The sequence below is a fragment of the Homo sapiens genome, chromosome 12, assembly GCF_000001405.40.
Source record: "Homo sapiens chromosome 12, GRCh38.p14 Primary Assembly".
NCBI lineage: Eukaryota > Metazoa > Chordata > Mammalia > Primates > Hominidae > Homo > Homo sapiens.
Window position 1 is genome coordinate 22,121,210 of NC_000012.12, and position 22,089 is coordinate 22,143,298.

Below are 22,089 nucleotides of genomic sequence, written 5' to 3' on the forward strand. Positions count from 1 at the left end.
AACCCTGTCTCAAAACCAAAAGAAAAATAAAGGAAAGTCATTGAAGAACATCCCTGAAACACAGTCACATACATATAATACATCCATACATGCATACACTCAGAAAGACAAACAGCCCTATCTTATTGAAATGGGAGAGTTCCCCAGTTCCCCTCACAGGACATGTGCCAGGGTGTGGCTCATCTGCTTGGTCACCCCAAAGCTCAAACCGCTAGGGGGAGCATGCAGATGGGCAGGTGCAGAGGCCACCTGTGCACTTTTGGGCTCTGGCCCCACAGCAGCATCTAGGGGTGGGTGTCCGTGACTCCCAAAGCCCAAGTGGGCGTGTGTTACAAAGGTCTTTCAAATTTGCCACCTGCAGATGGCTTGTGTGTTAATCAGCTCAATCGACCCTCTTCCTTATTGCAAGGGCAGAGGGCCAGTGTGAGAGCCTTCTGGACTCTAAGCTCTTGCCCAGTATCCTGGAAGGATCAGATCACACGTGGGCTCAAAGGATGAGTTCAAGGTTTTATCGAGTGGTAGAGGTGGCTCTCATTGAGATGGATGGAGAGCTAGAAGTGGGGGTGGAGTGGGAAGATGGTATTCCCCTGGAGTTGGGCTGCCCAGCGGCCGAATTCTTCTCTGACCACTCCCCGCCAAACTCCCCTCAGCTTCCAGACATCCCCCATCTTCCTTCTTTCTCTGCTGTGTGTCATTCCACCATCTCTGGTCTGCTGGTCTCGACATTCAGCCACTTGTGTGTGTGCCTGCTAAAATCTCAGGAATATATGGGCGCAGGATGGGGGCATGGTGGACCAGAGTCGTCTTGGAAAATGCAATACTCAGGTGTGAAAACAGGAGTGCTCATTCTCACTTAGGTCCGCAGGCACATGCCCGAGGGTGAAGCCCTCGCCAGGGATCCCACCCTTCTCTACCCAGCACTTCCCTAACGCCCCCCCCATATCATTATAAGTAAAGAAAAGTGAAGCTACTGCTTCCATTCATACAGATTTCTTTTAAAAGCTCTAGTGATTCAGTGACTATTCCTGGTGGTGACAGGGTTTGCACAGGCTGGAACATCCTGATGTAGAATACTTACAAGTAAAATCTCTTCACACCTAAGAAGGTGTAAAAGAATCATGTGGAATATTTTTCCAACCACACTCTGCCCCTCCTAGATATTCTGCTATGAGTCCTGATTAACGTGGTGACAACAAAGACAGATGTTCCCTGAAAGCCAGTGAGCTTCACTGAGTTCTGGTCTGGGCTGGCATTTTTGTAGCTGCAGTCACAGAAAAATAATCTCTAGAACAGAAGCAGTGCTAGGTCTGCTCTACCCTGCCCTAGTCAGACCATATCTATGGTGTGCGTTTCCTTCTAAGCACTGCACTATAATAGAGATGTGGCCAAATCAGAGCTCATGCAGCCAGGAGAGAGAGGTGGTGAACCACAGTGTGTAATGACAGTAGACAAAAACAGTATTTCTTTTCTTGAGGAAAAGCAGACCCAATCTTTTTTTTTTAAATATATGTATTTCAGCACTGCTTACTCCAAAAATGGAATTGAGGTGGAGTGAGGCATGCAAACTATCTTCAAATATTTAGAAGCCTTTCATGTGGAGGAGGAATTAATAACGAGGAGGACTGGTTTTTTGTTTTGTTTTGTTTTGTTTTAGGACAAATTATGACACTGTGGTAAGGGCAAAGATTTTCGAGCTGCTACTTGAATTTATATCTTGACTGTTTTCCTTATTAGTTACACATCTGTGGACAAGTTATTTGGCCTCCAAAGGTTTGCATTTTCCTCCTCTGTAAAATAAGGATAAGGACATCTACTTCATAGTGTTCTAATAAGGAAGACATGAGATAATGTTAGCATGACACTTAGATAAGTGTCTGTAGCACATGGTTAGCAAACAGTAAATTGTTAAGATTTTTTTTTTTTGAGTTGGAGTCTCACTCTGTCACCCAGGCTGGAGTGCAGTGGCATGATCTCGACTCACTGCAACGTCCATCTCCCAGGTTCAAGTGATCCTCCTGCCTCAGCCTCCTGAGTAGCTGGGATTTCAGGTGTATGCCACCAAGCCTGGCTAATTTTTTTTTTTCTAGATGGAATCTCATTCTGTGGCCCAGGCTGGAGTGCAGTGGCACAATCTCGGCTCACTGCAACATCTGCCCCTGGGTTCAAGTGATTCTCCTGCCTCAGCCTCCAGAGTAGCTGGAATTACAGGCATGCACCACCACACGCAGCTAATTTTTATATTTTTAGTTGAGACAGGGTTTCACCATATTGGCCAGGCTGGTCTCAAACTCCTGACCTCAGGTGATCCACCTGCCTCGGCCTCCCAAAGTGCTGGGATTACAGGGGTGAGGCACCGTGCCTGGCCAAGAGATTTTTTTTTAAACATCTCAGCAGTTCCCACATAGAATGTGTTGCTTTGTAAGGGTAATTCAAACATTGGGTGGATGTTTTGACCAGATAAACATTAAGGTACCTGTCCTTCCTGAAACTTTATGATTCCACTAAGTGTGTGCCATTAGTTAAAGAAGAAAATAGATGATGAAAAACAGGAGTTCAAATAGTGTGAGCATTGCATATTCTTCTATAGGGAATAGCAAACCTATTTGCTGGTGAGTTACCAATGTCCTTATGTTAAAGCTACACTTGCTGTGACTTTCCTGAAATGAAAATATAAAAGTATAACAATTTTCAAGCAAAATAACAATATATAACAATTAAAAAGATCTACTCTAAGTCCAATAAGAGACAGGATTCTTTGGGTGTGCAGCATTCCTAAATGATTTGTTTTCAAAATTCTGTATCATCTTGGTATATTTATTTTTGTTCAGTGAAAGCCTTGGGAATTCAGAATAGTTTTTTTAAGTGCTTCAGACACCAATGAGTCAAGGAGAAAGGGTTGGGGTCAATGGTTGTGCACAGTGGCAGGACCAATGTGTGCTGTACAGCTTAATCAAATCACATTTCATTGTGATGTTTTCAGGATAAATTACTTTCCGTTAGTTTTTTTTTTAAATAAATACATTTTTAAATAATGGAGACAGGTTTTCTCCATGTTGCCCAACCTGACCTCAAACTCCTGGGCTCACGTGATCCATCTGCAATGGCCTCCCAAAGTGTTGGGATTACAGGTGTGAGCTACTGCACCTGGCCTTCATTAGTTTTTATAAAACCAATTCTCTCACTGTTTGTTTGAGGAACTTACTTGTGTGAGTGTATGTATTTTTTTATTTGTGTTGTTTTATTTTCTAGGCAGGTATATATATAAGGCACATTTCAGACTACCTCTTCAGGTTTCAGCTATATGTCTATGCACTTCAATCAGTGCATAATTATTTCACTAAAAAGGTTGGTGGTATATGAAAACAAAAGGTGCTTGTACAGAATTAATCTCTGTTTTGAACACACTAGCTCAATAAGTAATCACTAATATGTGCTACCCACATGTTATAAGAAAGATTGTTGATATGGTTTGGCTGTGTCCCATACAATTATGGGAATTGTAGCTCCCATAATTCCCAAGTGTTGTGAGAGGACCCAGTGGGAGATAATTGAATCAGGGGGGTGGATTTCCCCCATAATATTCTCATGGTAGTGAATAAGTCTCACAAGATCTGATGGTTTTATAAGGGGAAACCCCTCTCACTTGGCTTATATGTCTTTATTAGCAGCATGAAAATAAACTAATACAGTAAACTGATACCAGTAGAGTGGGGCACTGCTGGAAAAATACACACAAATGTGGAAGCAACTTTGGAACTGGGTAACAGGAAGAGGTTGGTACAGTTTGGAGGGTTTGGAAGAAGACAGAAAAATGTCAGAAAGTTTGGAACTTCCTAGAGACTTATTGAATGGCTTTGTCCAAAATGCTGATAGTGATATGGACAATAAAGTGCAGGCTGAGATAGACTCAGATGGAGATGAGGAACTTGACATTTGGGCTATCTTCACGGCAGCCCCTCCCATCACAGGCCCAGAGGCTTAGGAGGAAAAATGGTCTTGTGGGCTGAGCCCAGGGTCCCCGTGCTGTGTGCAGCCTAGGGACTTGGTCCCCTGCCTCCCAGGCACTCCTGTGGCTGAAAGGGGTCAACATAGGGCTCAAGCCATGGCTTCAGAGAGTGCAAGCCCCAAGCCTTGGCAGCTTCCATATGGTGTTGAGCCTGTGAGTGCACAGAAGTCAAGAACTGGGATTTGGGAACCTCTGCCTAGATTTCAGAGGATGTATGGAAACGTCCAGATGCCCAGACAGAAGTTTGCTGCAGGTGCGGGGCCCTCGTGGAGAACTAGGGCAGTGGGGAAGGGAAATGTGGGGTTGGAGCCCTCACACAGAGTCCCTACTGGGGTGCCACCCAGTGGAACTGTGAGAATAGGGCCACCATCCTCCAGACCCTAGAATGGTAGATCCACCGACAGCTTGCACCATGCACCTGGAAAAGCCATAGATACTCAATGCCAGCCTGTGAACACACCCTGGAGGGGAGCTGTACTCTGCAAAGCCACAGGAGTGGAGCTGCCCAAGACCATGGGAACCTACCTCTTGCATCAGCATGACCTGGATGTGAGACATGGAGTCAAAGGAGATTATTTTGGAGCTTTAAGATTTGACTGCCCCACTAGATTTTGGACTTGCATGGGGCTGGTAGCCCCTTTGTTTTGGCCAATTTCTCCCATTTGGAACAGCTGTATTACCCAATGCCTGTATACCCATTGTATCTACGAAGTGAATAACTTGCTTTTGATTTTACAGGCTCATAGGTGAAAGGGACTTGCCTTGTCTCAGGTGAGACTTTGGATTGTGGACTTTTGAGTTAATGCTGAAATAAGTTAAGACTTTGGGGGACTGTTGGGAAGGCATGATTGGTTTTGAAATGTGAGAATATGAGATTTGGGAGGGGCCAGGGAATAATATGAGTTGGCTGTGTCCTCATCCAAATCTCATCTTGAATTGTAGTTCCCATAATTCCCATGTGTTGTGGGAGGGACCCAGTGGGAGATAATTTGAATCATAGGGGCAGTTTCCCCCATGCTGTTCTCATGACAGTGAGTAAGTCTCATGAAATCTGATGGTTTTATAAGGGGAAACCCCTCTTGCTTGGCTCTTATTCTCTCTTGCTGCCACCAAGTAAGAAGTGCCTTTCACTTCTGCCATTATTGTGAGGCCTTCCCAGCCACGTGAAACTGTGAGTCCATTAAACCTATTTTTCTTCCCAGTCTTGGTTATGTCTTTATAGCAGTGTGAAAACGGATTAACACAACTGTGAAGAAGCAAACTGAAAAAGAATTTGCTTAGAAAGAATATAAGAATAATATATTCAGTGTATTTCTAAAAATGGTTATGATCCACTTAAACTTTTGGAAAATGCTTACATTTTGAGTGATAAAGTTCATGTAAATTAAAAATAAAAATTATTGTTATATTTACTATTTCCTCTTAGGAATGGCTCTAAAATTGTAGCCCATGTTTTAATGCAGGTGAGATTAGGGTTATCTCTATAGTAGTGGCATAAAGAAAGAGCTGTGTCTTTTGGATTCCTAATGATGTAGAAAATCTGTTAGATTCATTTATTCTTGGATGGAAATAACCCCAGTACAAAACATTTCTATAAGGAAGTAGCATTTAAATTCACCTGTGTAAGTCACAGTTGTTTTGGGCAGCTTCAGCTGATGATTAAACACAGTATTAGAAGGTGGATGTGATAGTAATATTTTCAGTGATGCTCAACATTGCATGCTCTACTTGGTTTTTAATTGACAATCAGAACAGGCACATTTTACTTAGGTAAGAAAGCATTTGCTGAGTCACTTTTAATACATAACTCTCTTTCGGTGTCATGTTTATATCATCACCTGATGGGTTCTTTCTCCTTGCTGCACAGACAAAATCAATTGACTGAGACCATGGCATTGCAGTAGAGAAATAGTTTAATTGATGTGAGACCAGCCTCAAATCAATCTCAAAGGCTCAAAGGCTAGGAGTTTTCCAGGAAGTTTGGTGAGCAGGGGACTAGGGAATGGGGAATATTGATTGGTTACAGATGGAATCATAGGAGTGTGGAAAACAGTCCTTGTGCACTAAGTCCACCTCTGGGTGGGACCACGGGATCAGTTGAGTCATGAGTTAAGAGTCTGGGTGGGGTCAGCCTGAAAAATATCTCAAAAATCCAATCTTAGGTTCTATAATAGTGATGTTATTTATAGGAGTAATTGGGGAAGACACAAATCTTATGACATTTGGCCACATGACTCCTGAGCAGTAAGGGATTATAGAAACTATACCTACACCTTATCAGAATTTAGGACCCTCTCATAATCCTAACATTGTGGTGTGTATTAGTCCATTTTCATGCTGCTGATAAAGACATACCAGAGACTGGCCAATTTACAAAAGAAAGAGGTTTAATGGACTTACAGTTCCACACAGCTAGGGAGGCCTCACAATCATGGCAGAAGGCAAGGAGGAGCAAGTGACATCTTATGTGGATGGCAGCAGGCAAAGAGAGAGAGCTTGTGCAGGGAAACTCCCATTTTTAAAACCATTAGATCTCATGAGACTTATTAAGTGTTACGAGAATAGCATGAGAAAGATCTGCCCCTGTGATTCAGTTACCTCCCACCAAGTTCCTCCCATGGCATGTAGGGATTGTGGAAGTTACAATTCAAGATGAGATTTGGGTGGGGACACAGCCAAACCATATCATGGTGTTACATTAGTTTTACAAAGGTGGTTTAGTTTTGGGAAGGGCTATTTTTATCCTTGCTTTAAGGTTAAAGTATAAACTACATTTCTGCCAAAGTCAACTTGGTCTACACCCAGAAATGACCAAAGACAGCTTAGAGGTTAGAAGCAACATGGAGTCAACTGTGTCAGATTTGTCTTGCTGTAATAATTTTCTAAAGGTAGTTTCAATTACAGTCCAGGTATTGTGTGAGTCCACATGAATAGCACCTGCTTATTTTTAATTGAGAGATGTATAAAGGCCACTGTGTACAAGAATAAATAGTCACCGACCCCCTCACTCATCTCCAATACCACAATATCCTCTCTTTATCCCAGGAAGGAATTGTGGAGTAAGCCAACATGTCATGCTTTCTCTAACTGCTCTAGATTTTCTCAGCAGATTCACAGAACCCCAAGGCTCAGGGAGCACAATTTAAAAAATCTACTTCTTAATAAAAAGGAATAAAATGGCAGAACTTTAAGCCTCATCCATTTAGTTGGACGTATTTGTTTTGACAAAGAAGAGAGATTTTAGGGCTTTTGGAGAACACCTAAAGTTACATGTCTATTATCTTCTGGGAAAGACAATGCAACCCATTAATGCCTATTTTGCCAAAGACTGTATTCTATGAAATCAGAAGAATTATTGGAGGAGGTTGGGGGACATACAGGGAAGGTGGAACAGGACTCTGGAAGTGACAGGGGATCAAATATTAAACAAAACATTATGAAATGTGCTGGGAAGCATACCTTTCACATCAGAGAGTTTAGAAACATAAAAAAGGAAAAACAAGGATTAGGAAGAAAATATAGAAGGCAAAGTAGGGTTGAGAGCTGGGAGGGAAAGACTAGGGGAGGAAGCTCCTATTTGACAGGCCGTTTTAGGGCAAAAGAAGCTTGTCCAATTTGGGAGCTCTCAGGGACCAAGCCATCAGTAACAGTGGGCAGGTTATCTTCTCAGGAGAGAGAACTGGAAGGTCTCAGTTCCCAGTATGGGACACACTGAAAGTACTGTATCTTAAGGCTGTACCTTCTTTCACTGTGATAGTTTAAAAGTACTCCAATCCTTCTGAGCTTCAGTTTCTTTACTCATAAAAGGAGAAATACATACACTTGTCATTGTTGTAATGTATACAAAACACATAGCTTACTTTCTGGCAGTCATTTGTTTTCAATGTTATTGCATTACCCTAAGTGTTTCTTAGCTTACCGGACTTCTTTTCTCCTCAAATCTCTCTCTCTTCTCTGTCTCTCTCTCTCCCTCCTTCCCACCCATCTGAGAAATCATCTGCTGAAACGAAAATGATTTATTCAATGAAACTGTAATCCAGTTAATACATCTTCCCTGTTCTGACAGATTCACTGGGGACAAAGGCAAACTCTCTGACATTTCGCCTCTGGTTGATTGTGTTTACTTTCTTTGGGGCACAAGAGTAGATGGTGTGGGCAGAGGCACTGTGGTCACAGAGTTACAATCAGTTACATATATGACTGGTAGATTGTTTCTGTTTTTATGTTTAGAACATGGCTGACATCGTTTGAAGAGGCTTTATTACTGGGAATTTGCAATGTATCCTGATTTTGCTTTTCAAATATTCTTTTTTTCCTCATCAAAATAGAATTTTAAAATATTCCTCATACATATATCTCTAAAGAAAATAAAATTCAACGCTAATGCCATACTGTAGAAAGTCACTTGGCACATTGATATATTTATATCTACTCTTTTTTTATGCATGTATGTGTATATTTTAACTAAATTGAAATTATTTTATATGTATGAATTTAAAAACATAGTTTCTACTTAACCTTAACCCATGTGCATTTCTCCATGAAAACTTAAATTTGAATAAGAAAGTTTTGAAAATAGAAAGCATTCTTTTAAATTACAATTCACTTTTAAAATAATAATGTGTGCACTTTAACTAGATGCAGTGGCTCACACCTGCAATCCCAGCACTTTGAGAGGCTGAGGTGGGAGGATCATTTGAGCCCAAGATTTTGAGACCAGCCTGGGCAACACAGTGAAACCCCATCTCTACAAAAAAAAATACAAAATATTAGCCAGGCATGGTGGCACACACCTGTGGTCCCAGCTACTTGGGAGGCTGCGGTGGCAGAATTGCTTGAGCTCGGGAGGCAGAGGTTACAGTGAGCCAAGATTGTGCCACTGCACTCCAGCCTGGGTGAAGGAGCGAGATCCTGCCTCAAAAATAAAAAATAAAAATAATAACGTTCATTTTTAAAATGGCTAGAGGTAACTATTCTTTGCATTTTTATTACAATTTATTTATTTATTTTCCTATATAATCCCATGCAAGGATGACAAATAAAATTATTAAAATTTAAATGGCATTTGCTCTGCCTTTCAAGCTGCGTAACAGACCAAGCATCCAAGCCCGGTTTTGTCAGATCTACAAACCTCTGTCTTTATCCCATAGAACTTACCTTGCATTCCATTTGTTTAATATTCCTGGGTGGCATATGTCATAGCTCAAAGGCATTGGAATTATTCTTCTGTTAGAATACAATTTTAGCTCTTCAAATTTAGAAATGTCTCCCAATTCAATAGGAGATGTTAGAGTAAGTCTAGTGTTGGGAATGTTCGCAATGACGTCTGCATCCCAGTGAATGCCTTCATGCAAAAATAAAACATAATTTTCATGACATGTCACTCCTGACAAAATGGATGTAGAAAATTAGCATATTATAAAAGTGATTCATACATTAGTTTTGTTGTAAGTAGTTATTATTACCTCCTGAAACCCGTCAAAACCTGCGGAAACACTTGAGCTGCTAACTCATTTTATAGGTAGAATCACATTCTAAAGAGTGTGAAAAGGTATGGAAACCGCATGCTGTTTCCTCAGCTTGAAATACTCTTCTATGCTATGACTCATCCCTAGGCCCTTCATATCACAAGTTCACACAGATCTTTCCATGTAGGTTTCCTACTGGTCCTGCAAGCTCAGGCATCTTCCTCTTGTATAAACTGTCTCCTGAGTCCCCACCCCTGGGCAGAGTTGCTCATGCCTCTTTGTCTTCCCACAGTGTACCCAGCTCCTCTCTCCACTGGAGCACACACCAGAGGATAGTTGCATAGCTCATGTCCTTGCCTATCTTCCCACTCTCCACTTGAAGATAGCCATTGTTTCTTGATTTTGTTTGTGTGTAGATACATAGCAGTTGTGCTAAAAAGCATCTGAACAAAGAACGTATGCTATATTCAAACATCATTGACGTACAAGCCTGCTACCATGGAACCTGGAAGGAATTCAACTTTATATTTACATGAAGCAAATGGTGGATATGCTCCAGTGTGGTAGACAACAGTAAATTGGGGCAGGGAAATAGAAGTTTGCAGGAAGTAGGGCAGATGTCTTACTAATATGAAAGCAATGTTCTCAAAGACTTTAAATCAGGCCTAGCCTTCATTTATCTCATTGTATTTTCAATGAGATACAATATTAACAAACTTACAGTTAAACAAATATTTAGAGTTTAAACAAGGTCCTCATTTGCATGTTATGTTTTAATATTAAGACTATTTTAAATTACGTTAATAAGTCTTAAGTATTTATAATTGTAATATTCATACAAATGTGACTAGTAGTGATAGCTGCATTATTCTAACAAAACATATTGATTTATTTTGATGAGGGAGAGAGAATATACATGGCTTTGTGCTATTAATGAGGACCTCCTGGTACTTGATGCTTTAGATGGCAGAAGATGTTAAATTATAGGCAGTGAAATTATACAGTGAAAACCTATATTGGTTGCTTTCATATGGCATAAGTTAGCCACCTTCTCTAGGAACATTTAAAGTATCATAAGTTACTTTCTAAACTAACAGATCAATTTTAGGTAAGATATATTTATTCACAGAGCACACTAATACGTTTCAACTTTACCTTAAAGTATTTTAAGGGCAATCATTTAATATCCATTTGCAACAACATTTTCATATTTATCAACAAACATAGTTATACGGTTTACATTTATTCTCAAAAAGCATCTGGTAGATCTGGCCCAATGTGAGCCCTGCATCTTCCCTTAGGTAGGTTCTCTTGGTCCTCAGATAAAGGAACTATAATGCACATCAACTCAAAGGGAGCTTGGCTCTTAGTTACTCATGCCAGCAGTTACATGCCCATCCCCTATGCCTGCTCTTCTGGAAATAGCAAACAAGATATTACATAACTTGGTCATTTCTCTAAAACAAAAGTAACATAGAAATAATTTTGATTCTCTCTGAAATGATATTATTCAAAATAATTATTCTTTCCCTTCATGGGCATATACCTATATGAAAGAACAAACTTTGACAATAAAAATATATATGGTTTGTATTCACCCAGAAGAAAAAAATTATTTATACATCAATTAATAAGTGTGAATTGAACAAACACTATTTAGTTATCATTATTACTTGTACAAAGCATGATGAGAACTCTATAATGTTATAGCTATTATGCTTATTATATATTGTCTGTATGTCTTCATGAATAAAATAGAAACAAGAGTATAGTAAGCTTGAATTTTTCCAGCTGAATTTTCAACAAGGCACACTGTTTATCTCTCTAATATCAAGGTTGTAAATTAGAATCAGCAGTGGGAACATTTTTAAAATCAATGTTTTATAAAAATTATTGTATTTCTTTGTATTGCATTTCTTTTTTTTATTATTATACTTTAAGTTCTGGGATACATGTGGAGAACGTGCAGGTTTGTTACACAGGTATACACGTGCCATGGTGGTTTGCTGCACCCAACAACCCGTCATCTACATTAGGTATTTCTCCTAATGCTATCCCTCCCCTAGCCCCCGACCCCCTGACAGGCCCCTGTGTGTGATGTTCCCCTCCCTGTGTCCATGTGTTCCCATTGTTCAGCTCCCATTTATGAGTGAGAACATGTGGTGTTTGGTTTTCTGATCCTGTGTTAGTTTGCTGAGAATAATGGTTTCCAGCTTCATCCATGTCCCTGCGAAGGACATGAACTCATCCTTTTTTATGGCTACATAGTATTCCATGGTGTATATAGGCCACATTTTCTTTATCCAGTCTATCATTGATGGGCATTTGGGTTGGTTCCAAGTCTTTGCTATTGTGAATAGTGCTGCAATAAACACATGTGTGCATGTGTCTTTGTAGTAGGATGATTTATAATCCTTTGGCTATATACCCAGTAATGGGATTGCTGGGTCAAATGGTATTTCTGGTTCGAGATCCTTGAGGAAGCACCACACTGTCTTCCACAAAGGTTGAACTAATTTACACTCCCACCAACAGTGTAAAAGCATTCCTATTTCTCCACATCCTCTCCAGCATCTGTTGTTTCCTGACTTTTTAATGATCACCATTCTAACTGGCATGAGATGGTATCTTACTGTGGTTTTGATTTGCATTTCTCTAATGATCAGTGATGATGAGCGTGTTTTCATAGGTTGTTTGGATGCATAAATGTCTTCTTTTGAGAAGTGTCTGTTCATATCCTTCACCCACTTTTTAATGGGTTTGTTTGTTTTTTCTTGTAAATGTGTTTAAGTTATTTGTAGATTCTGGATACTAGCCCTTTGTCAGATGGGTAGATTGCAAAAATGTTCTCCCATTCTGTAGGTTGCCTGTTCACTCTGATGATAGTTTCTTTTGCTGTGCAGAAGCTCTTTAGTTTAATTAGATCCCATTTGTCAATTTTGGCTTTTGTTGCCATTGCTTTTGTGTTTTAATCATGAAGACTTTGCCCATGCCTATGTCCTGAATGGTATTGCCTAGGTTTTCTTCTAGGGTTTTTACGACGTTAGGTCTTACATTTAAGTCTTTAATCCATCTGAGTTAATTTTTGTACAAGGTGTAAGGAAGGGTTTTCTTTCAGTTTTCTGCATATGGCTAGCCAATTTTCCCAACACCATTGATTAAATAGGGAATCCTTTCCCCACTGCTTGTTTTTGTCAGGTTTGTCAAAGATCAGGTGGTTGGAGATGTGTGGCATTATTTCTGAGGCCTCTGTTCTGTTCCATTTGTCTATATATCTGTTTTGGTATTGATGGAATGTATCTCAAAATAATAAGAGGCATTTATGACAAACCCACAGTCAGTGTCATACTGAATAGGCAAAAGCTGGAAGCATTCCCTTTGAAAACTGGCATAAGACAAGGATGCCCTCCCTCATCACTCCTATTCAACATATTATTGGAAGTTCTGGCCAGAGCAATCAGGCACGAGAAACAAATAAAGGGTATTCAAATAGGAAGAGAGGAAGTCAAGTTGTCCCTGTTTGCAGATGACATGATTGTATATTTAGCAAATCCCATCGTCTCAGCCCAAAATCTCCTCAAGCTGATAAGCAACTTCAGCAAAGTCTCAGGATACAAAATCAATGTGCAAAAATTACAAGCATTCCTATATACCAATAATAGACAAACAGAGAGACAAATCATGAGTGAACTCCCATTCACAATTGCTACAAAGAGAATAAAATACCTAGAAATCCAATTTACAAGGGATGTGAAAGACCTCTTCAAGGAGAACTACAAACCACTGCTCAAGGAAATAAGAGAAGACACAAACAACTGCAAAAACATTCCACGCTCATGGATAGGAGGAATCAATATCGTGAAAATGGCCATACTGCCCAAAGCAATTTATCAATTCAATGCTATCCCCATCAAGCTACCATTGACTTACTTCACAGAATTAGAAGAAAACTACTTTAAATTTTATATGGAACCAAAAAAGAGCCCTCCATAGCCAAGACAACTCTAAGCAAAAAGAACAAAGCTGGAAGCATCATGCTACTTGACTTCAAACTATACTACAAGGCTACTACAGTAACAAAAACAGCATTTCTATATTTTTTAAAATGCATTAAAACAAATGTACCAGAGTTTGGATAGGAAACCAGAAAGACATCATTTTCTTCTGCACAAACAAAACAAAACAAAACAAAACCAGGGAATTTAGAAGATCTTCTGAAGACATGGTGGAAAAGAGGACCTCCTTGAAGTTATGAAGAATACTTAACTGGTCCTGGGATGGCACCTTTCATCAAATCTATCAAAAAGTACTTACTAAACACTGATATTACACAAGACACAGAGCAAGTATGGTCTTTAATCTTAACCCTAGCTCAATGTGAAAGTAACCTTAGAATAACTAAGCTAACATTCGAACTGGGGAACACTTTGCAATTCTTCGCAAGTAGTTTTTAAACCTTACCAAGCCAAGGTCTACTGTGAAAATGATATCTGAATTTTGATAACACACATTACAAAATATTTCCTCTAACTGGACACTCAGGATGGTTTGCATAAAAAGCTACCAAACTATCATAATGTAATCATTATATTAAGGAACAAAATTAATCAAATTCTTTGGCCTAGATAAGGAAAGGCTATTAGTGGCTGTAATGGATTCTGTCATTGTGGAAATGATTCGAAAAATTAGATTTCTTCTTATTAATATTAACACAGAGATGAGGAAGTAGCTAGTATTGCATTTCATGAAAAGAGAATCATAGAATGAGAAAAGACAAATATAATTTTTTCTGGAAATTGGCAAATAAATCTATGACTAAATACAAACCTTACAAGCAGTACTTTAGCTAACACGGGAATCAGGACACCTAAGCCAGAAAATAAATATCTTGAGCTTTCCTGTAAACATAAATTTTTAGGCTAATGTGTATAAACCCTTGTCTGAGTCATTTGTAGTTTTTGTCACTAATATTGTGACATTCTGGATTTGGTTAGATAGGGCAACAAAGTGCCCAATTATTTCAGTGAACCAGAGTTGAATCTTTGCTGGTCAAACCCTTAAAATGATTGTATACCAACAAAGGACTGACCAACATTTCAAGTGAGCACAAAAAAATATAAAGGTCTACTGTGGGAGAAATGAAGAGAAATATTCACACCAGTGGCAAAAATAAAGTTCAGAATCATCATGTATGCAGAAAATCCAAAGAATCTCAATTCGAATGAAATATAAATTGAACATGACTGTTAGATTATGAGTCAATACATGAAAATAAATTGTATTTCTGTGTTCCGGCAACAATCAAGTGAAAAATAAAATTTGAAAAACAATACTATTTACAATAATATAAAAAATAAATTTTCTGAAAATAAATCTGCTACTGAAAGGCATGGAAAACCAGAAAGTATTACTAAGACTAGTTAAATAAAGAAATAGAAATAAATAAAGAGAAACATATACTATGTCCACGTACCAGATGAGTTAATATTATTAAAATGACAAAATTCACCTTATTGATTTATAAAAGTCAATTTAACTTGGTCAGAATCTCAACATGTGCATGCGTGTGTGTGTGTAAATTGACAAGCAATCATTTATATGAAAATGAAAAGGCCAAGAAAATCTGAAAGAAGAAAAAATTCTGTATGACTTATACTATCAGATTTCAAGATTTACCACAAAGCAAATGTAGTTAAGATAGCATGACCTGAGCTCAAGGCTACACATATAGAACAACGGAACAGAATAAAGAGTGTAGAGAAAGACACACACATAAATGGTCATTTGATTCATGGCAAAGGTAAACTTTAGTGAAGAAAGTTGTCTTTTAAAATGAGTGGCACATGGGGGGGAGGAGCCAAGATGGCCGAATAGGAACAGCTCCAGTCTACAGCTCCCAGCATGAGCGACGCAGAAGACGGGTGATTTCTGCATTTCCATCTGAGGTACCGGGTTCATCTCACTAGGGAGTGCCAGACAGTGGGCGCAGGTCAGTGGGTGCGCGCACTGTGCGCGAGCTGAAGCAGGGCGAGGCATTGCCTCACTTGGGAAGCACAAGAGGTCAGGGAGTTCCCTTTCCTAGTCAAAGACAGGGGTGACCCATGGCACCTGGAAAATTGGGTCACTCCCACCCAAATACCGCGCTTTTCCGACAGGCTTAAAAAACGACGCAGCACGAGATTATATCCCACACCCAGCTCGGAGGGTCCTATGCCCACGGAGTCTCGCTGATTGCTAGCACAGCAGTCTGAGATCAAACTGCAAGGCTGCAGCGAGGCTGGGGGAGGGGCGCCCGCCATTGCCCAGGCTTGATTAGGTAAACAAAGCAGCTGGGAAGCTCGAACTGGGCGGAGCCCACCACAGCTCAAGGAGGCCTGCCTGCCTCTGTAGGCTCCACCTCTGGGGGCAGGGCACAGACAAACAAAAAGACAGCAGTAACCTCTGCAGACTTAAATGTCCCTGTCTGACAGCTTTGAAGAGAGCAGTGGTTCTCCCAGTATGCAGCTGGAGATCTGAGAACGGGCAGACTGCCTCCTCAAGTGGGTCCCTGACCCCTGACCCCCGAGCAGCCTAACTGGGAGGCACCCCCCCAGCAGGGGCACACTGACACCTCACACGGCAGGGTACTCCAACAGACCTGCAGCTGAGGGTCCTGTCTGTTAGAAGGAAAACTAACAAACAGAAAGGACAGCCACACCAAAAACCCATCTGTACATCACCATCATCAAAGACCAAAAGTAGATAAAACCACAAAGATGGGGAAAAAACAGAACAGAAAAACTGGAAACTCTAAAAAGCAGAGCGCCTCTCCTCCTCCAAAGGAACGCAGTTCCTCACCAGCAATGGAACAAAGCTGGACGGAGAACGACTTTGACGAGCTGAGAGAAGAAGGCTTCAGACGATCAAATTACTCTGAGCTACGGGAGGACATTCAAACCAAAGGCAAAGAAGTGGAAAACTTTGGAAAAAATTTAGAAGAATGTATAACTATAATAACCAATACAGAGAAGTGCTTAAAGGAGCTGATGGAGCTTAAAACCAAGGCTCGAGAACTACGTGAAGAATGCAGAAGCCTCAGGAGCCAATGCGATCAACTGGAAGAAAGGGTATCAGCAATGGAAGATGAAATGAATGAAATGAAGCGAGAAGGAAAGTTTAGAGAAAAAAGAATAAAAAGAAATGAGCAAAGCCTCCAAGAAATATGGGACTATGTAAAAAGACCAAATCTACATCTGATTGGTGTACCTGAAAGTGACGGAGAGAATGGAACCAAGTTGGAAAACACTCTGCAGGATATTATCCAGGAGAACTTCCCCAATCTAACAAGGCAGGCCAACGTTCAGATTCAGGAAATACAGAGAACGCCACAAAGATACTCCTCAAGAAGAGCAACTCCAAGACACATAATTGTCAGATTCACCAAAGTTGACATGAAGGAAAAAATGTTAAGGGCAGCCAGAGAGAAAGGTCGGGTTACCCTCAAAGGGAAGCCCATCAGACTAACAGTGGATCTCTCGGCAGAAGCCCTACAAGCCAGAAGAGAGTGGGGGCCAATATTCAACATTCCTAAGAAAAGAATTTTCAACCCAGAATTTCATATCCAGCCAAACTAAGCTTCATAAGTGAAGGAGAAATAAAATACTTTACAGACACGCAAATGCTGAGAGATTTTGTCACCACCAGGCCTGCCCTAAAAGAGCTCCTGAAGGAAGCGCTAAACATGGAAGGGAACAACCGGTACCAGCCGCTGCAAAATCATGCCAAAATGTAAAGACCATCGAGGCTAGGAAGAAACTGCATCAACTAACGAGCAAAATCACCAGCTAACATCATAATGACAGGATCAAATTCACACATAACAATATTAACTTTAAATGTAAATGGACGAAATGCTCCAATTAAAAGACATAGACTGGCAAATTGGATAAAGAGTCAAGACCCATCAGTGTGCTGTATTCAGGAAACCCATCTCACGTGCAGAGACACACATAGGCTCAAAATAAAAGGATGGAGGACAATCTACCAAGCAAATGGAAAACAAAAAAAGGCAGGGGTTGAAATCCTAGTCTCTGATAAAACAGACTTTAAGCCAAGAAAGATCAAAAGAGACAAGGCCATTACATAATGGTAAAGGGATCAATTCAACAAGAAGAGCTAACTATGCTAAATATATATGCACCCAATACAGGAGCACCCAGATTCATAAAGCAAGTCCTGAGTGACCTACAAAGAGACTTAGACTCCCACACATTAATAATGGGAGACTTTAACACCCCACTGTCAACATTAGACAGATCAACGAGACAGAAAGTCAACAAGGATAACCAGGAATTGAACTCAGCTCTGCACCAAGTGGACCTAATAGACATCTACAGAACTCTCCACCCCGAATCAACAGAATATACATTTTTTTCAGCACCACACCACACCTATTCCAAAATTGACCACATACTTGGAAGTAAAGCTCTCCTCAGCAAATGTAAAAGAACAGAAATTATAACAAACTATCTCTCAGACCACAGTGCAATCAAACTAGAACTCAGGATTAAGAATCTCACTCAAAACCACTGGAAACTGAACAACCTGCTCCTGAATGACTACTGGGTACATAATGAAATGAAGGCAGAAATAAAGATGTTCTTTGAAACCAACGAGAACAAAGACACAACATACCAGAATCTCTGGGACGCATTCAAAGCAGTGTGTAGAGGGAAATTTATAGCACTAAATGCCCACAAGAGAAAGCAGGAAAGATCCAAAATTGACACCCTAACATCACACTTAAAAGAACTAGAAAAGCAAGAGCAAACACATTCAAAAGCTAGCAGAAGGCAAGAAATAACTAAAATCAGAGCAGAACTGAAGGAAATAGAGACACAAAAAACCCTTCAAAAAATTAATGAATCCAGGAGCTGGTTTTTTGAAAGGATCAACAAAATTGATAGACCGCTAGCAAGACCAATAAAGAAAAAAAGAGAGAAGAATCAAATAGACACAATAAAAAATGATAAAGGGGATATCACCACCGATCCCACAGAAATACAAACTACCATCAGGGAATACTACAAACACCTCTACGCAAATAAACTAGAAAATCTAGAAGAAATGGATAAATTCCTGGACACATACACTCTCCCAAGACTAAACCAGGACGAAGTTGAATCTCTGAATAGACCAATAACAGGATCTGAAATTGTGGCAATAATCAATAGCTTACCAACCAAAAAGAGTCCAGGACCAGAGGGATTCACAGCCGAATTCTACCAGAGGTACAAGGAGGAACTGATACCATTCCTTCTGAAACTATTCCAATCAATAGAAAAAGAGGGAATCCTCCCTAACTCATTTTATGAGGCCAGCATCATTCTGATACCAAAGCCTGGCAGAGACACAACCAAAAAAGAGAATTTTAGACCAATATCCTTGATGAACATTGATGCAAAAATCCTCAATAAAATACTGGCAAAACGAATCCAGCAGCACATCAAAAAGCTTATCCACCAGGAGCAAGTGGGCTTCATCCCTGGGATGCAAGGCTGGTTCAATATACACAAATCAATGAATGTGATCCAGCACATAAACAGAGCCAAAGACAAAAACCACATGATTATCTCAATAGATGCAGAAAAGGCCTTTGACAAAATTCAACAACCCTTCATGCTAAAAACTCTCAATAAATTAGGTATTGATGGGACATATTTCAAAATAATAAGAGCTATCTATGACAAACCCACAGCCAATATCATACTGAATGGGCAAAAACTGGAAGCATTCCCTTTGAAAACTGGCACAAGACAGGGATGCCCTCTCTCACCACTCCTATTCAACAGAGTGTTGGAAGTTCTGGCCAGGGCAATTAGGCAGGAGAAGGAAATAAAGGGTATTCAATTAGGAAAAGAGGAAGTCAAATTGTCCCTCTTTGCAGATGACATGATTGTATATCTAGAAAACCCCATTGTCTCAGCCCAAAACCTCCTTAAGCTGATAAGCAACTTCAGCAAAGTCTCAGGATACAAAATCAATGTACAAAAATCACAAGCATTCTTATACACCAACAACAGACAAACAGAGAGCCAAATCATGAGTGAACTCCCATTCACAATTGCTTCAAAGAGAATAAAATACCTAGGAATCCAACTTACAAGGGATGTGAAGGACCTCTTCAAGGAGAACTACAAACCACTGCTCAAGGAAATAAAAGAGGATACAAACAGATGGAAGAACATTCCATGCTCATGGGTAGGAAGAATCAATATCGTGAAAATGGCCATACTGCCCAAGGTAATTTGCAGATTCAATGCCATCCCCATCAAGCTACCAATGACTTTCTTCACAGAATTGGAAAAAACTACTTTAAAGTTCATATGGAACCAAAAAAGAGCCCACATCGCCAAGTCAATCCTAAGCCAAAAGAACAAAGCTGGAGGCATCACACTACCTGACTTCAAACTATACTGCAAGGCTACAGTAACCAAAACAGCATGGTACTGGTACCAAAACAGAGATATAGATCAATGGAACAGAACAGAGCCCTCAGAAATAACGCCGCATATCTACAACTATCTGATATTTGACAAACCTGAGAAAAACAAGAAGTGGGGAAAGCATTCCCTATTTAATAAATGGTGCTGGGAAAACTGGCTAGCCATATGTAGAAAGCTGAAACTGGATCCCTTCCTTACACCTTATACAAAAATCAATTCAAGATGGATTAAAGACTTAAACGTTAGACCTAAAACCATAAAAACCCTAGAAGAAAACCTAGGCAATACCATTCAGGACATAGGCATGGGCAAGGACTTCATGTCTAAAACACCAAAAGCAATGGCAACAAAAGACAAAATTGACAAATGGGATCTAATTAAACTAAAGAGCTTCTGCACAGCAAAAGAAACTACCATCAGAGTGAACAGGCAACCTACAAAATGGGAGAAAATTTTTGCAAGCTACTCATCTGACAAAGGGCTAATATCCAGAATCTACAATGAACTCAAACAAATTTACAGGCAAAAAACAAACCCATCAAAAAGTGGGCAAAGGACATGAATAGACACTTCTCAAAAGAAGACATTTATGCAGCCAAAAAAACACATGAAAAAATGCTCATCATCACTGGCCATGAGAGAAATGCAAATCAAAACCACAATGAGATACCATCTCACACCAGTTAGAATGGCAATCATTAAAAAGTCAGGAAACAACAGGTGCTGGAGAGGATGTGGAGAAATAGGAACACTTTTACACTGTTGGTGGGACTGTAAACTAGTTCAACCATTGTGGAAGTCAGTGTGGCGATTCCTCAGGGATCTAGAACTAGAAATACCATTTGAGCCAGCCATCCCATTACTGGGTATATACCCAAAGGACTATAAATCATGCTGCTATAAAGACACATGCACACGTATGTTTATTGCAGCACTATTCACAATAGCAAAGACTTGGAACCAACCCAAATGTCCAACAATGATAGACTGGATTAAGAAAATGTGGCACCTTGACACCATGGAATACTATGCAGCCATAAAAAATGATGAGTTCATGTCCTTTGTAGGGACGTGGATGAAATTAGAAATCATCATTCTCAGTAAACTATCGCAAGAACAAAAAACCAAACACTGCATATTCCCACTCATAGGTGGGAATTGAACAATGAGATCGCATGGACACAGGAAGGGGAACATCACACTCTGGGGACTGTTGTGGGGTGGGGGGAGGGGCAAGGGATACTATTGGGAGATATACCTAATGCTAGATGACGAGTTAGTGGGTGCAGCGCACCAGCATGGCACGTGTATACATATGTAACTAACCTGCACAATGTGCACATGTACCCTAAAACTTAAAGTATAATAATAAAAGAAAAAAAATTAAAAAAAAATAAAAAAATAAAATAAAATGAGTGGCACTTACATATACACCATGGAATACTATGCAGCCATAAAAATGGATGAGTTCATGTCCTTTGTAGGGACATGGATGAAGCTGGAAACCATCATTATCAGCAAACTATCACAAGGACAAAAAACCAAGCACCACATGTTCTCACTCATAGGTGGGAATTGAACGATGAGAACACTTGGACACAGCAAGGGGAACATCACACACCGGGGCCTGTCGTGGGGTGGGGGAGGGGGGAGTGATAGCAGTACAAGATATACCTAATGTAAATGACGAGTTAATGGGTGTAGCACACCAACATGGCACATGTATACATATGTAACAAACCTGCACGTTGTGCACATGTACCCTAGAACTTAAAGTATAATAAATAAAATAATAAAAAAATAAAATAAAATGAGTAGAACTTATTTTTTTGATCCATCTGGGAAGTAAAATGAATTCTACTTTATACTATATACAAAGAAAAAATAAAAATTCATCAGATAATTAAATTTAAAAAATAAAAAGCTTCTAGATGAAAACATGGGAGAATAGTTTTATAATCCTTGGAAAGGTAAAGATTGCTTAAACAGGATACACGAAAGCCCTAAGCATTAAGGAAAGAAATTACAATTAAATTTCATTAAATTGAGAACCTCTGTTGACTAAAAGTCATCATTTAGAGAGTGAAAAATAAGCCACGGTCTAGAAGAAAATAGGGTAATACATATTAAT

The 22,089-nt window shown here is 39.8% G+C and overlaps 1 pseudogene across 2 annotated transcripts in view, besides 2 other annotated features; it reads right to left on the minus strand.

Moving 5' to 3' along the window:
• SULT6B2P (sulfotransferase family 6B member 2, pseudogene) overlaps positions 1 to 18,839 on the minus strand; it is a 35,556-nt pseudogene extending 16,717 nt beyond the window's left edge. The window contains exons 1-3 of one of the 2 annotated variants that reach the window (XR_001749042.2): positions 18,817 to 18,839; positions 9,164 to 9,350; positions 7,926 to 8,006 (exon numbers count right to left, since the gene is read on the minus strand). The product of XR_001749042.2 is annotated as a sulfotransferase family 6B member 2, pseudogene, transcript variant X1 (transcript). Of the gene's footprint in view, positions 1 to 7,377; positions 8,007 to 9,163; positions 9,351 to 18,816 lie in introns of those variants that run through there. The other variant, XR_001749043.1, reaches the window with a different exon arrangement.
• Positions 169 to 228: a silencer, noted in NCBI's record as "silent region_4287". NCBI's record gives its function as "represses an Ori minimal core promoter by ATAC-STARR-seq in GM12878 lymphoblastoid cells {active_cell/tissue: GM12878}" and the evidence as "EXISTENCE:reporter gene assay evidence [ECO:0000049][PMID:35858748]".
• Positions 15,611 to 16,219: an enhancer, noted in NCBI's record as "NANOG-H3K27ac-H3K4me1 hESC enhancer chr12:22289754-22290362 (GRCh37/hg19 assembly coordinates)". NCBI's record gives its function as "activates a minimal SCP1, AML or CMV promoter by ChIP-STARR-seq in primed H9 embryonic stem cells {active_cell/tissue: H9 hESC(primed)}" and the evidence as "EXISTENCE:reporter gene assay evidence [ECO:0000049][PMID:30033119]".
• Positions 18,840 to 22,089: the final 3,250 nt, after the last annotated feature.